A 16,016-nucleotide genomic window follows, 5' to 3' on the forward strand; every position below is an offset into this window, starting at 1 on the left:
ACAAAAGACAGAAAATTAGAAATGTGTTTGGAGAACTGGCTGCAGGTTCTGTACTAGCACTAAACTCTGTATGTTTGCAATATTTGATATTTTCAGTTTTTTCTATTTTTAGCCATAATAGGTGAGTGGTGGTATCTCATGGTGGTTTTAATTTGCATTTCATTGCTGATTGGTGATTTTGATAATCTTTTCTAGGTCTTATCTAATCATTGATGATTTTAATCATCTTTTCTAGGTCTTATTATCCATACATACAACTGCTTTGATGAAGTGCACTGAATATGTGTGTGTATATATCTATATCTATATCTATATATATAGATATATATATGGTCCTAGATTTCTTAACAATGGGGGTACATTTTGAGAAATGCATCATTAGGTGATTTCATCATTATGCAAACATTGTAAAGTGAACTTACACAAACCTAAGTAGTATAGCCTACTTTACACCTTGGCTGTATGGTATAGCCTATTGCTCCTAGGCTACAAACCTGTACAGCATGTTACTGTACTGAATCCTGTAGGCCATTGTAACACAATGGTAGGTATTTATGTATCTAAACATAGAAAAGATACAGCAAAAACACAACATTATAATTCATAAGACCAATGTCATATGTGTGGTCATTGACTGAACCATTATTAGGTAGCAGATGAATGACTGTTTATATATATCACCTCTCTCTCTCTATATATATATACACATACACACTTATAAGTATGTATACATATATGTGCATATAGGAATGTACACTTATGTATATACATATGTATATGTATGTATACATGTATGCATGTATCAGTTTGTATACATATATGTACATACTTATACATATACACATATGTACACATAGGTATACATGTGTATATAGGGAGAGAGTGAGTGGTGGTATAAACATGCATACATTTGTATACAAACATATATACATACATATATACACACATATACATGCATATACATACATATGTATATATGCACATAAATATACATGTATATACACATATACACACATATGTGAATATGTGCATAATATACATATATGTATATATACTCCACACACCACACACTATATATCTCCCTCATATACATATATGTACATATATGCATACTTATACGTATATGTGTTCATATATGTATACTTATACATATATGTGTTCTTATATGTATAATTGTGTATACATACATGCATACATATACATACATATGTGCATTGTGTATGTATATATATGCACATATGTATGGTACATATATAAGAATTTATACACATACACATATGTGTATATGTGTGTATATAGAGAATGCTAATATACACATATGTGTGTATATATGTGTGTGTACATATAGAGGGTACATGTGTGTATATATACATATATGTATATATGTGTATATATACATATATACGTATATATGTGTATAAATGTATATGTGTATGTATATATACGTATATATGTATATGTGTACATATATGTACATGTACACATGTCCCCCTGAACTTAAAATAAAAGCAAAAAAAAACTTATGAAGTTACAGTCATCAAGAACAGTATATGGCATTGGCATTAAGAAAGGCAAATAAATCAGTGGATCAGAATAGGTGGTCCAGAAATATATACATATATATGTGTATATACACATATGTACATGTATGTATATGGGTGTGTATATATATACATACATATTTATATATATATATAGAGAGAGAGGGCATAAAGGACTTGGTTAAACATTACAGAGAAAGTGCCTATAGATGACATGGTGAAAATGTATGACGGGCTTATGAAGAAATTAGAACACTGTGCATTCTAGAGCAAGGCATCATGTCAGTTAATAAAATCAAAGAAAAAGTTCTAAGACAAAACTGTTGTCAGTGGAGCAGATGACTGGAGAAAACACTTTTAAAAGCCATCCAGCAGAATGCCTCCTCATCCCTGGAGGTTCCACTTCCTGCTCCTTCAATTGCTCTAAAGTTTCTTCTCACCTAAAAATGTAGAATACAGTGTACAATAACCTTTTAATCAAAACACAGCTTTACAGTTAGAGACTGAAAGCCTGGCTTTGTTGTTGCTGTTGTTTAACAGCTAATACAGGTATTCTGGAGGAGCTACTGTGTCGCTCCGTTACCCTGAACACATTATTTCTTTCACTGTATTAACCCATTTATGCCTGAGGTTGCATTTTTTTGAATTTTTGCACTCAGACCTTGGCAATGACCTTGAGCAGTAGGATATAAATAACTCCCACATGCTTAGTGTTCCATTATTGGGTTAATGATAAGTCATAATTTTTGTTATTAAGTACCTATGTGCAAGTAAGTGTAAGAAATTGATTGCTGATAAGCAGCATATAAGTGCAGAGTCAGGAATGATGTAATGCCAAACAACCACAGATTGTCCACCTGGGTGGCTGAGATAGTGACACTTTTGCTTTCTGATGGCTCAATGTACACAAACTTTGTTTCATGCATAAAATTATTAAAAATATTGTATAAAATTGCCATTAAGCTGTATGTATGAGACACATAAGACATAAATGAATTTCATGTTTAGACTTGGGGCCCACCCTCAAGATATCTCATTATATATGTCCAAATATTCCAAGAGCTGAAAAATCTCACAGAAACACTTCTGGTCCCAAGCATTTTGGATAAGGAATACTCAATCTCTATATATAATCAAGTATTCTATCATTGCAAAACATATTCTGTGAGCCTGTAGATTGTCTTTTTATTCTCTTTGGAGTGTTTTTTAAGGAGTACAAATTTTAAATTTTGATGAAGTCCAAATTTTTAATTTTTTTTCTTTGGTGAATTGTGTTTTTGATGTCATATCTAAGAAGGTTTTGCCTAACCCAAAGTCACAAAAGTTTCCTATGTTCTAGAGGTTTCACAGCTTTAGGTTTTAAATTTAAATTCATTTTTGTTTATTGTACAAATTATGAATCAAGCTTCATTTTTTGCATACAACTATTCATTTTTTCCAGCACTATTTGCTGAAAAGATCATCCTTTCTCCATAGAATTTCCTTTGTACCTTCACTAGAAATCAGTTGTCTCTCTCTCTATATATATATATGTGTGTGTGTGTGTGTGTGTGTGTGTGTGTGTGTGTGTGTGTGTGTGTAGTTTATTTCTGGACCCTCTATTCTGATCCACTGATTTACTTGCCTATCTTAACACCAATACCATATACTGTTTTGATGACTGTAACTTTATAAGTCATTTTTTTAACTTTTAAGTTCAGGGATACATGTGGAAGTTTGTTACATAGGTACACTCATGTCAGAGGGGTTTGTTGTATAGATTATTTCACCACCCAGGTGTTAAGTCTAATACCCATTAGTTGTTTTTCCTGCTCCTCTCCCTTGCCCCACTTTCTACCCTTAGGTAGGCTCCAGTGTGTATTGTTCCCCTCTATGTGTCCATGCGCTCTCCTCATTTAGCTCCCACTTATAAGTGAGAACATGAGGTATTTGGTTTTCTGTTCCTGAGTTAGTTTGCTAAGGTTGATGACTTCCAGCTCCATCCATGTTCCTGCAAAGGACATGATCTCATTCTTCTTATGTCTGCATAGTATTCCATGGTGTGTACGTAGCACATTTTCTTTATCTAGTCTACTATTCATGGGCTTTTGCATTGGTTCCATGTCTTTGCTGTATAATGTCTTGAAATCATGTAAGGCTACTCCTCCAACTTTGCTCTTCTAATTTTGTTTATTTTTGAGACAGGGCCTCCCTCTATTGCCCAGACTGGAGTGAAGTAACATGATCATGGCTCACTGCAGCCTTGACCTCCCAGGCTCAAGTTTGCTCTTCTTTTTCAAAGTTGTTTTGGCTATTCCAAGTCATTTGCACTTCCATTTGAATTCTATAATCAAATTATTAATTTTCACAAAGCCCTGCTCTGGAAGTCCATCAGGCTCCTCTTGTGTTCCTCCTCCCTGGTCACACCTGGACTTCCTCAAGGCAATAAGCTCTGGCAATGGCTTCAACTTGCTTGCTTCAGGTGTCACTGTCCCTCATTGCCTGATGTCTAGAAACTTCAAAAACTCTTTCACGTATTTTTTTTTCTTTTGTTGTTATTGTTGTTGTTTCAGGCAGGAGGATAAATTCAATCCCTGCTACTCCACCTTCCCTGAAAGTAGACTCGTGTTCACATTTTTCGAAGTATCCTTATATTTTAGATTAACATATTGAGTGATGTACAGATAAAATGACAAGACATCTGGAATTTGCTTTAACATACTACTGACATCTGAAAGTGTGGGGGGCCTAGATGAAACACAATTGGCTCCAAGTTGATAACTCTTCATACTGGGTGATGGGTAAAATGGAGATGAAAGAAAGAGAGAGAGAGAGAAAGAAAGGAAAGGAAGAAAGAAGGAAGGAAGGAAGGAAAGAAGGAAGGAAGGAAGGAAAGAAGGAAGGAAGGAAGGAAAGAAAGTTGGTGTGAGCTTAAAATTTTCCATAAAACAGTTTTCAACATAAAGATCTTGATACTACTGCCTAGCTCAAGGGATTGTTGTGAGGATTAAATGTGGAATTGTATGTAAATTGCCTAGAACTATGCTTAGAACTTAACGAAGAGTAGCTATTAATACTACATAATTGTATAAAACCAACTACCAAATATATATTAAAGAAGTCTGATAAAAATTTCTCCTGAAAAGAGATAACCCTTTAGCTAAGAATGAATGCAGGTCTCTGCTCACCCCCACCACCTTCCTATTCCCTCCCGTGGTGCTGTCTTTCTAATGTCACCCTGAGCTCTGGCTGCCTGGCCCAAATAAGTCAACACGTCAGCATCAGGAAAGAGGTATTTGGAGAAGGATTAGAGAGACAATTTTAAGCTCATACAAACTTTTCTTCTTTCTCTCTTTATTTCTCCCTCCCTCCCACCCTTCTCCCTTCCCTCCCCTCTCCTCCCCTTCCCTCCCCTCCCCTCCCCTCCCCTCCCCTCCCCTCCCCTCCCCTCCCCTCCCTTTCCTTTCCTTTCCTTTCCTTTCCTTTCCTTTCCTTTCCTTTCCTTTCCTTTCCTTTCCTTTCCTTTCTTTTCCTTTCCTTTTTTTTTCTGTGCATTAGTTCCTTCAGGGAGTCTCCCAAACCCACCAACACTAAATTTGGTACCTTTTCTCTGAATTTTCCTGGCACTCTGTCCCTCCTACTGTCAAAGCACTTAAATAGGGCCTGGTAGCTCTCTAGTTTGGAACCTCTCTCCCAATTCCTAAGATTTCCTTACATTTGTTTCCATATCCTTAGAGCCCAGCACATAGTAGACACTCAAAGCATGCTCGTGGAGCTGTTTAACTTCATGGTCCCACCTGTCCATCTTTGCGACCCTCTTCTCTATGTGCTTTGTTTCTTCCTCTGTGGGCTTTGTTCCTGCCTCTGTGGGCTTTGTTCCTGCCTCTGTGCACAGCCTGCTGGGGTGACGCTTTCCTGTTTGAGAGTCTTGACATTCAGTTTCTGTTTATGTACTTACTCAGGCTCATTATAAGAACTGGCTCTTTTCTTTTTCAATTAATTGCACTGCCATGAAAACTCTGTCTCTCCAACCCTTCTCCAAATACCTCTTGTTGCTGTGTTGAGTTATTTGAGCCAGGCAGCAAGAGCTCAGCAAGACAGTAGAAAGACAGAACCAGGAGAGAGAAGAGGAGGGTGCTGGAGATGAACAGAGACTGCAGGGGTCTCCTTTCAGGCTGGTCCAGAGCCCCACATCTCTTAGTATGCACTCAAGTAGACCAGGGTGAAAAATTCAATCATGAAAACGAAAGAACTTAGAACCACAAATGTGAGGGCTAGGAGGGGCATCAACATAACTGAACCTTTCATACTTGCTCCAATCACCAAACACACATGTGCACACACATGTGCAAATGCACGCACACACATGCACACACCTTGTCAGCTGGACTTGTCTCTGAAGTTTCCTTAGGTCATTGTGGAACAAGAGAACAATTTGAAAATCACCGGCCAAGTTGGATATTTTTAATTTGAGGAAAGGCACAGAGATGTTGAGTCTGGTATCCAAATCTCACAATTTCTGGTTTCTTTTCTTTCCATTAATTAATCTACACTGCCACCTCTGACCAAAACAACAACAACCATGCTCCATAGATGTATCTGCATTCTGGATGTCACAGCCATAGAAATCTTCCCAGTGTGAATCAAATATTAGTAGACGTGTTGCTGGAAAAATCACAGCTTTCAAGAATGAATCTGAAAGATTTCAAGCTTTTCTCAGAAAGAAAAGGCCGCGTGATATCCAGATTGAGATTATTTGAAAAGCTGAGACTGGGGAGATGAATCTTCTGCTTGGAAGGCCAGAAAACAACGAAGGCCATTTTGTGTGCCTGAGAGAGAGAGAAAGTGGTTTTACACCACCATCTAGTGGTAGAAAGCAATACTGTCGCTAAAGCTCAAAAAGGGTTCATGATTTTTTTAATTCAACCGACAAGGATTTATTCTAAAGTCTCTGATTTGTCAGAGCTTATACTAGACACTGGGGATATAGCAAATGTTAATTACAAAAATCCATATACCAATTTCAGAAATCTCTCTCCCCCTGTTATTCTTACAAGCATCTCTAGTCTGCGGTCTTCACTACCAGGTCCCTCTCACTCCTGAATCTGTAATCCAAAGTGACCCTCAGACAGCTCAGATACCAGAACATAGAGACCTCTTAAACGCCAAGCTCCTGATGTGGACATTTCTGGGGAAGGGGAGGCTTTCACAAGTTCTCCTTGAATGATAACCATTCAGTTGCTATCAGTCTGAGAATGCAAATATATGTGCTTTCTTGAGTCTTGGAGAATGAGACATCAAGATTCAGGTCATTCTCATGGAATTTTGGAGAAAGATTCTTATGATGGAATAGGACATTATATGATGTCTTGAAAAGGACAGCCTATGATGTTCAGGGCTCAAAAAGTATCTGACCTATAATCCAATGACCTATAATCCAATGATGAATTACACACACACACAATAAACATAATTTTAATGCATTGTTACACTTATTAAAAAGTGAGGGAAAACTTCTGAGGCTCTAAGAGTTAAGTAAATAATAACAGAAGCAATGAACTACAACCTGAGCAGGCAGCCGTAGCAGTAAGCAAGTGAGCAGAGGAGGGAGTTATATGGTGGGATTGTCTGGAAATAAATACTTACATTGCTGCAATCAGCACCTCCAATATAGGTTATTGGATTCTTACAGATTGTATTCCATAAAATATAGCTCATAACGAAAACAGAAAAACCAAAACCAAAGAACACACAAGGAGCACATGAGAGACAGCAGAAATAATACATGAAAGATTAGACTTTCAAAGACCAGATATTGGAGTGATCCGAAAAAGAATGTGAAATGCAAACCAAAAATAAAATTCTAAGTCCCCCCAACCAACTCAATGGACCCCTCCTGTCAGCCAAGGGGATTCCAAAGAAACATAAAATACTAGTTCCAGCCATGATGCGAAGGGCAGGGGAATTGGACATGCCTCATTACACCCTCCTCTCTTTGGAATTCAGGCACAACTGTCCAGCATTAAAATTAAAACAGAGATCTCAAGACTGACAAAACAGACTCTGGTAACATTAAGATACCAACTTCCAACCTGACTCAAGCATAGCATCACATGACAGATAGCAGGGCCTGAAAGAAACAAAAGTATTTTACCCCAAATTATAATTCTTTGCCATATTTTGAAATGGCCCTGCAAAGCTGTCTCCTGTGGGGAAAATTTACATTCTGCAGAGAATCCCCTTCCCTTTCCAGGTATTTTTCTGACCCTGAAGGGATTAGATGAGAGTTTAGCATTTTTAAAGGTATGAATAGGAAATATTAGAATATTAGCCATTTATTACTTCTAAGAGCAGCTGCCTATGAGACTTCACCTACATAATAAGAACTGTGGTCTCCACATCACCTTACGTTAACCCAGACACTCCTTTCTGTTGATTCCAGGTCTTTAGATAATAACTAACTCTTTCAACAAATTGTCAATCAGAAAATCTTTGAATTCATCTATGACCTGTAAGCCCCCACTTCAAGTTGTCTCACCTTTCCAGACCAAAGCAATGTATACCTCATATGTATTGATTGATGTCCTGTGTCTCCCTAAAATGTATAAAACCAACCTGTAACCCAACCACATTGGGCACATGTTCTCAGGACCTCCTGAGGCTGTATCATGGGTCATGGTCTTTGCATTTGACTTAGAAGAAATCTCTTCAAATATTTTACAGAGTTTGGCTTTTTGTCAACAGAAACAACCATGTGTAAAAGGTCAAAAGAAATGGAAAAGGAAATTTTAAAAAAGCAAGAAAAACAGAATGTGAAAACTGGGCTGGGCGCAGTGGCTCATGTCTGTAATTCCAGCACTCTGGGAGGCCAAGGTGGGAGGCCTTGAGCCCAGAAGTTTGAGACCAGCCTAGGCAACATGGTGAGACCCCCATCTCTACAAAAAAAACACATTCAAAAAATAAATACAAAAGTTTAAAAACCAATATGGCAGATTTTAGAAAGAACTAAATAAAACTCGTAGATTTCAAATACACACCCGGATCGCAATGGCTGAATGAAACAGCAAATTAAACAAAGATGAAAAGACTATTAGAGAGTTGGAAAATATAACTTGAATAAATTACCTATAACACAGCCCAGAGATATAAAAGGATAGTATATCCAAACAGATGATCAAGATACATAGATGAGATGATGGAAGCAAATTCTAACGCAACTAATTTGGAGTTACAGGAGTAAAAGTTGGTGCACAAGCAGGAGGAGGGCTTGCAAAGCAGCAGTTAGGAAGGTAGGGCGAGATGGTGAGCTGAAATGATCATGGTGGTTATGACGATGATAAAAAAACTGAGGATTCTGAGGTTAATAGCCATTTTCACTATTTTTAAAGCACATCCCACAAGGAGTAGAGCTGATCAAATGATAAAATGAAAGAAAATACACAAGAGAGTTGCTGCTATTTTTAAACGATGAAACTGAATGAAATGGTGTTTGGGAGGAAGCAAAAACAAACTTAAAAATATACAATCCATAGTGATGGACTTGGGAACATAGGATCAAGAATGCTTTGTACACTTTCTTCTTTGTTTTCTAAAATTTCTACAATAAATAGGTAGACAGGGTCTATTGCTTAGGATTGCAAGCTGTATTAGGTTTGCATGGGAAGAAAAAAATGATTTCTCTGTACCCTTCAGGTTCTTTGGCTGAGCCATGAATTAAATTGACATAAGGCATATTAACAGGTGAAAAATAATTTGAATTGTGTATGTATGCACAGGAGTCCCACAAAAATATGAGACTCAAAGAAGAGCTGAATGATTGATGCTTATATATTATGGAATCCTGAGCTACAGACAGAAAGAGGGGTTTGGGGCTCCTAAGGAGTAGTGGGGACAAGTTATGGAAGGATGAGGGGGGGGAAATGTACAGTGAATAAATGTGGTCTCATTATACAGATAAGGATCTCTCAGGTGGTAAGAGTTGTCTCAGGAGCAGCTCTTTCCTTAATACAGATATCTTTATTAATAAAAATTTTCCTTAGAGATGCACATTTATTTTACAAAAGGGTAGCTATTCAGAGCGCTCTTGCATCTAGTTTCTCAAAATAATCTGCTAATAAATAGCATGCCCAAGAGGAATATTTAGGGGTGATTTGTCCTGAGCTCCAACAGTTTTTTAGAGCTACTGTAACAAAATACCACAAACTGGGTGGCTTAGAACCACGGGCATATTTAATGTCTCACAGTTCTGAAGACTAGAAATCTAAAATCAAGTTGTTGGCAGGGCCACACTCTCTGTGAAGCCTCTCGGGGAAAATCTGTTCCATGTCTGTCTCCTAGTTTCTGGAGTTACCAGTAATCTTCATCACTCTAACCTCTGCCTCCTGCGTCATTACACAGCATCTCCCTGTGTGTCTGGGTCTCTGTGTCTCCTCTCCTCTAACAAGGATACCAGCCTTATTGGATTAGGGACCCACCCTACTCCAGCATGACCTCATCTTAATTATATGTTAACTTAATTACATTTGCAACAACCTTATTTCCAAATACAGTCATATTTGGAGGTTCTGGGAAGCACATGACTTTTAGGGGACACTATCCAACACAGTACATGGGTGTTTGGTTTAAATCTTGGCTCTGCTACCAATTAGCTACGTAAACTTGAACAAGCTAGTGGCTATTTTGAGCACCCTGTTTTCTTATCTGTAAAGTGAGGACAAGAATACTCACTCCATAGACCTTTTGTGAGGATTACTGTGAAGGGCTGTGCTTGTGCCTATTGCAGAGTAAATACTTAGCAGGAGAGAGCTATTATTTTTGTTTTCACTGTCAGAAAAAATTTTTTTTAACAAATTTAAAGACAGAGAAAAAAGAATCACCTTGTCAGTGGACCAAAACATGCCATTTAAACAAAGCAAGCTTTGGGAAGCACCATGTCAACCTAACATTCGTTTCTCTCTCACATTATATTTAGTACCTAGTAAAAAACCTAATTTAGCTCAGGATATACTAGGTTCTAGTTAACTGATTGTTTCTGATGCAGGAGATAACATTTGCATCTATTTCAGTCTCAGGCTAAGAGGCTCAGAAAAGATACACAATTTTAGCTAAGAGTACCTGCCTAATCTAAAAGTATCTATTGCTACATTTTTTCATTTTTTTTTTCCTACTCTGCACAAGCTTGACTTTCCAGTTCATTTTAACTTGATGTCAAGTATATCCAAGGCCTTTTGGTTAAGAGAAGGGAGCCGTATAATCTACTTGACAGAAAATAGCTTCCTTATCAACCTAATTAAATTTCTCTTCATTAAGGTTGCATATTATGGATTTAAAGATATGTTATCTGGGAAGGTTATGATACTAACTTATAAGAAATTATTAACATTTTAGGATGTATTATTTTTCCAATAAATTAGACCCTTAAGAGGGCAGTTCTTTCTGAGGTGAGGAAGGAGGTTCAGGAACATTCCAGAGCCTGGTTCACTTCAGGGTACACTTTTTATCTGGGAAAAGGTAGTGAGAGGGTAACTGAGAGCCTCTGAGAGGCAACAGATTTGCCACCTGAGAAAAAAGCCCCTGAGGCAATGACTGTGTTACTTACATGTGTATAATGTTCCATGTGCTCCTCTGAAAATACCCATGTGGCTTTGTGTACACATATATTTAAAGAATGTGTAAGCAAATATAAGCAGGTTATGAAACATACACACAAAACAAAAAGAAGTTGGGTGCTGGAGACACCCTGCCAGAGCCCACAGTTAAGCTCCCCACATCCCAGCCTGTGATCTGGGCAAGTAACAGAAGTTCATTGGGCCGGTTACATCAGAGCCCCTAGGGTTATTTTAAAGATTAACTTTGTTACTATTGTAAAACACGTAGAATATTGCTTTACACAATATAGGTTTTTAAAACGTCCTTAGTAATTCGCTTTTTTCTTCCTGCCAAAGACATGAAGATGTTGTGCCTCTATTTGTTCTTCATAATCTCATTATGAGTTTTGCTTTGGAACAGTAGGTTATAATCACCTGAGGATTCCCTTTTGAGTTGATGAACAGGATGAAGCTAGCCCGTTTCCAGCTGAATCTACATCAAATTAAGGAAAGCAAAAATATTTTTTAAAGAACAGACTGATGTTTAGTAATGGAAGCAATAGTATTTTAGTAGTGAAAAAAAAAAAAAGGCAGTGCCTGCTATAAAGACTGACAGCCTGAAAAACCTAGTATGTCTCTGTGGGTGGATGCTAACACAGTTCTTTATTTTTATTTATTCATTAATTATGTTGTTTGGTAGAGACTGAGTCTCACTATGTTGCCCAGGCTGGTCTTGAACTCCTGGCCTTAAGCAATCCTCCCACGTCAGCCTCCCAAAGCACTGGAATTACAGGTGTGAGCCATGGTGCCCAGCCCAACAGTTTTTACTAGTACCAAAGTAAAGAAGATTTTTAAAAAGGCATATTCTGTCTTATTGCCGTTGTTTCTAATCAGGAAGGCAAACAATGTAGACAGGAACAAGTTTAACCTTTGGGGGAAGTGTTTGTTTAGTAAATATCACATTGTTTAATCCAAGAAGCCCTTTTCCTTCAATCTGTTAGCAAACAGAGGCCTCCCTGAAAATCAGTGTTGTGCATCTTAAATAAATATCTTGACTGGACCAGACCAGCTGGGTCTGACCACAAGGGGAAGCATATTCTGACATTAGGCTTTCTCTCATCAACAGGTTGGATGTGATGGGCCATTGAAAAAGGGATGATGGGTCCTTAGGTATAAGGAGCTGATGGGCTTATGGAGAGAGCCAGATGTGAATGCATTTTGAATGGGCTGATTCCTTGCAATGTATTTTTTTTCAAATTATTCTATTATCATAATGATCACAAGAAACAATGGTAAGTCCCTGTGTATTTTCAGTCTATATATGCCCTGGGCCCTGTTATTAGCCTCCTCCTTCCCCCAGGATGTGTAGAAACATCAAATAGAGCCTACTAAGTCTCAGACATTATTATAAATAGTTGGATACAACAGTGAGGGCCTCTGACCTCATGGAGTTTACAATCTAGAGAGGAAAGGGGGCTACCCTGGTTTAGGTGTCCAGGGAAAGCATCCCCCGAGAAGTGACCCTTAAGCACAGACATGAATTGGTGATAGAACCATGTGATGAGGGGCTCCAAAGCCAGACTGCTTGAGGTCAAAATCCTGGTTCTGTGTGAAGTTTCCAGAACTTTCTATGTCTTGACTTTCCTATCTGTAAAATGGAGATGAGAGTAATTGCTTCATGGTGTTGCGAGGATTAAATGGTTTAGCAGTATATCGTCAATCATAAGGCCGTATTTTTTCCCTACATTTTGACATCTCAAGATCAAGAACTTCTTAGAATGAATAGGGCTTACACTCACTGATGGGCATGCAGCAGTCCTGATAAAGTGGTTAATGATTGCTTAGGAGCTAAGACAGTTGCTGTCCCAGGTGGCATGACACATTTGCATCTGCTCTGTGCCACAAACCATTAAGGACCATTTGAGGAAGAAACATGAAGCCTGATTGTTGGAAAACATTTTGTGTGACACCCTGTAGTCAGATCTAAGATGCTCAAGTATCAAAACTGGGAAATGGGTGTCAGCAGCTTGGAAGAAAATTCTGGAACTGGAATCCCGGAGTGAAGTATTGGTAAAAAATATGACAGTATGAGTCTCTTCATGGCTCTGACATCATTATGTAGACAAACCCGGACTTTGGCAATTCTGTCAAAACTGATTGAGAATGGGCAGACTCCAAATGTAAAGAAGGCTTAGAAATTGATTAAATAATTTATTTTACTTATATTTTCCTTTTTATGTGTGAACAAGTATGATCTCTAATTTTTAAAATTACATCCAAATAAGGATCATTTTTCAATAAGAACAAATAAAAATTCAAAGTGACAAGAAAGCATGGCTCATATTTAATTGGCCACAGTTTTTTTCTTTCTTAGTGGCTCATAAAATAATAATACATCTTACAAAGGATGCATCTTAGAGTCCATGAAAGGTTGGTGAATCTTTTACAACAGTGCCTGGCAGTAGCAAGCTTTTGGTAAACCATTATCAGTATTTCTCGGTTCTTTTGGGGACAATGGTGCTCACCTCTAAGTTTTACTGCTCAGTGTACATCTCTCACTTTCTAAGCAAATCTCTTCATTAGGCTCTTACTACAATTCATGGAGAAAGGAATAAGAGCTAGCACAGAGGAGGTGCTCAGTAATTATTTATTGATTAAATGAATGAATGACTAGATTCCTGCTAAGCCCCCTCCTATTTCAGAGAGCAAGTGTAAGAAACTTCCATTGCCTCTCTAAGGACTGTCCTTGTCAGAAGCTACCCTAAAATTGTAGGCCTTTCCTCTCTCCACCCAGCACTCCAAGTCATAATTTGCTTTCCAGGATGGTGTGTCTCTGCTGTAGCCTGGGATAGAATGGGGCGGCAGAGGTCCCCCTTTACCCCGCTTTGTGCATTGCATGCTCTCAAAGTCTGGCACATTAAGCTATACAGATATATGCAAATTTATATACTGAAGTCCTGGTATAAATTATAGCTCTGTAAGAATACTCTTCTAGTCGTCTTTCTCTCCACCTTATCGTCTCATTCTTCACCCATCTCTCTCTCTCTCTCTCTCACACACACACACGCACACACACACATAAATAAGCACAGGCATTGAGGGGATATTAAAATAATTCTGAGTTGAGGAGAGAGAGTTCCAAGGAATTCAACAGAGAAACTGGTGAGGGCTTTTGAAAAGCAGATGCTGATCCCTGTCCTCCGTGGGTTTAACTCCAAGGTGGTGAATGCACTTAGAGAAAATTGGGGATTTTGGAGTCATGGATGGAGTCCTGTGCTCTGCTTCTCTTGTGTACTGGGAGGCAGCAAGCACCCATTCCCTATGTCATCATGGTTTTGGGAGTAGAGAGGAGACACTGTCTGAGACTTCCAGGCCCAAGGGCCAGAGGCAGACTCTGAGCTCCTTCACTGGCTGTCAGAGCATTGAGAGGAGCACCGTGCTTCTGGTGCAGCCTAGAGAATCGTGGATGTGACGCTGGAAAGTAAAGGAGCTGACGGTGCCTGGAGGCCAGGGCAATTCCCCCATTATGCTATTGTCAGGAGACTCTGAGAGCCCCCAGAAACCTAAATGCCATAGCAGAGGGAAAAAAAATTGGGAAAAAGTATAAAGGGACAGCATTTTTCCTGAATCACCTAAGAATACCGGGTATGACAAACTTTACTCTTAATTGGCAATGTTGCATCCCATTACTGATGGAGTAGGAACTTAAGGAAAAAGCCATGTTTAGTTCAAGAGGAAAAAAAAAATTTCCTATATGTCTAAGTATGTGGCTTGAATATTCTTACCTGCTGTATGCATACATTCTAAGAAAACTCATTAATCTGGAGGAATTATGGGTGGAAGCAGTGTAGTCTAAACCTATAATGAGAAAGAAAATCTCTTCAATTAGCAAGAAGTTCCCTTGCTCTTGTAGTCAGTTTCTTAAAGGAATATAGACCAAAGGCTTATCCGAATCATGAAAAGAAAACAATATTAATTTCTTGTGAATGTTCTCTTTGATTCCAAAGGAAGAACTCTGGATGCTTTTTATTGTGTGCATTGGGGATTTGAGGGATGCTGGCCATTCTTTTCATAGATGAATTAACATGCTAAAGTAATACCCAGAAAGCTTGTTTCCCTAAAGAAAAAATATATAAACTTAACTATGTAGAAATTCCAGCAAAAAGATTGAAGGACACCAAGGACACCTAAGTAATAGAAATGTGAATTTTGAGAAACAGCAGTGGAATAATTTCCTAAAAGAAATGTCTCAGATGCTAGATGTGAAAGAAGAGGCGAATGCCAAACTGTGGAGTGAAAGCACGAGGATTGGAACAGGAGTGCAAAAGGAGTGTGAGAGTTAAACCCTGGAATTAATGAACAACTCTGAACTTATTCAAGAAGTAATGGATGGTTATATCAACTGGAAATATTTCATTCAATAATAAAAGGTTGTCATAAACAAAATTTTAAAGTAGAACATTAAGAATGGTAGAGTTTTTGTTTTGTTTTGTTTTGTTTTGTTTTGTTTTGTTTTGTTTTGTTTTGTGACGCAGTCTCGCTCTGTCGCCCAGGAGTGCAGTGGCGCGGTTTCAGCTCACTGCAAGCTCTGCCTTCCGATTCACGCCATTCTCCTGCCTCAGCCTCCTGAGTAGCTGGGACTACAGGCACCCGCCACCACGCCCGGCTAACTTTTTGTATATTTAGTAGAGAAGGGGTTTCACCGTATTAGCCAGGATGGTCTCGATGTTTTGACCTTGTGATCCGCCCACCTCGGCCTCCCAAAGTGCTGGGATTACAGGCGTGAGCCACTGCGCCCGGCCAAAAATGGTTGAGTTCTTAATTTAGGATTCTTTGCCATTAGCCCACAGATGTCTGTGACATATTTGGCGCCCTCACCTTCAATCACTGGGGGGATTCTGAGCCTTCC

The 16,016-nt window shown here is 38.5% G+C and overlaps 2 annotated features.

The window, feature by feature from the left end:
• Positions 6,360-6,409: an enhancer, noted in NCBI's record as "active region_1164". NCBI's record gives its function as "activates an Ori minimal core promoter by ATAC-STARR-seq in GM12878 lymphoblastoid cells {active_cell/tissue: GM12878}" and the evidence as "EXISTENCE:reporter gene assay evidence [ECO:0000049][PMID:35858748]".
• Positions 6,420-6,469: an enhancer, noted in NCBI's record as "active region_1165". NCBI's record gives its function as "activates an Ori minimal core promoter by ATAC-STARR-seq in GM12878 lymphoblastoid cells {active_cell/tissue: GM12878}" and the evidence as "EXISTENCE:reporter gene assay evidence [ECO:0000049][PMID:35858748]".

This window comes from Homo sapiens, chromosome 1 (genome assembly GCF_000001405.40).
Source record: "Homo sapiens chromosome 1, GRCh38.p14 Primary Assembly".
Lineage (NCBI taxonomy): Eukaryota > Metazoa > Chordata > Mammalia > Primates > Hominidae > Homo > Homo sapiens.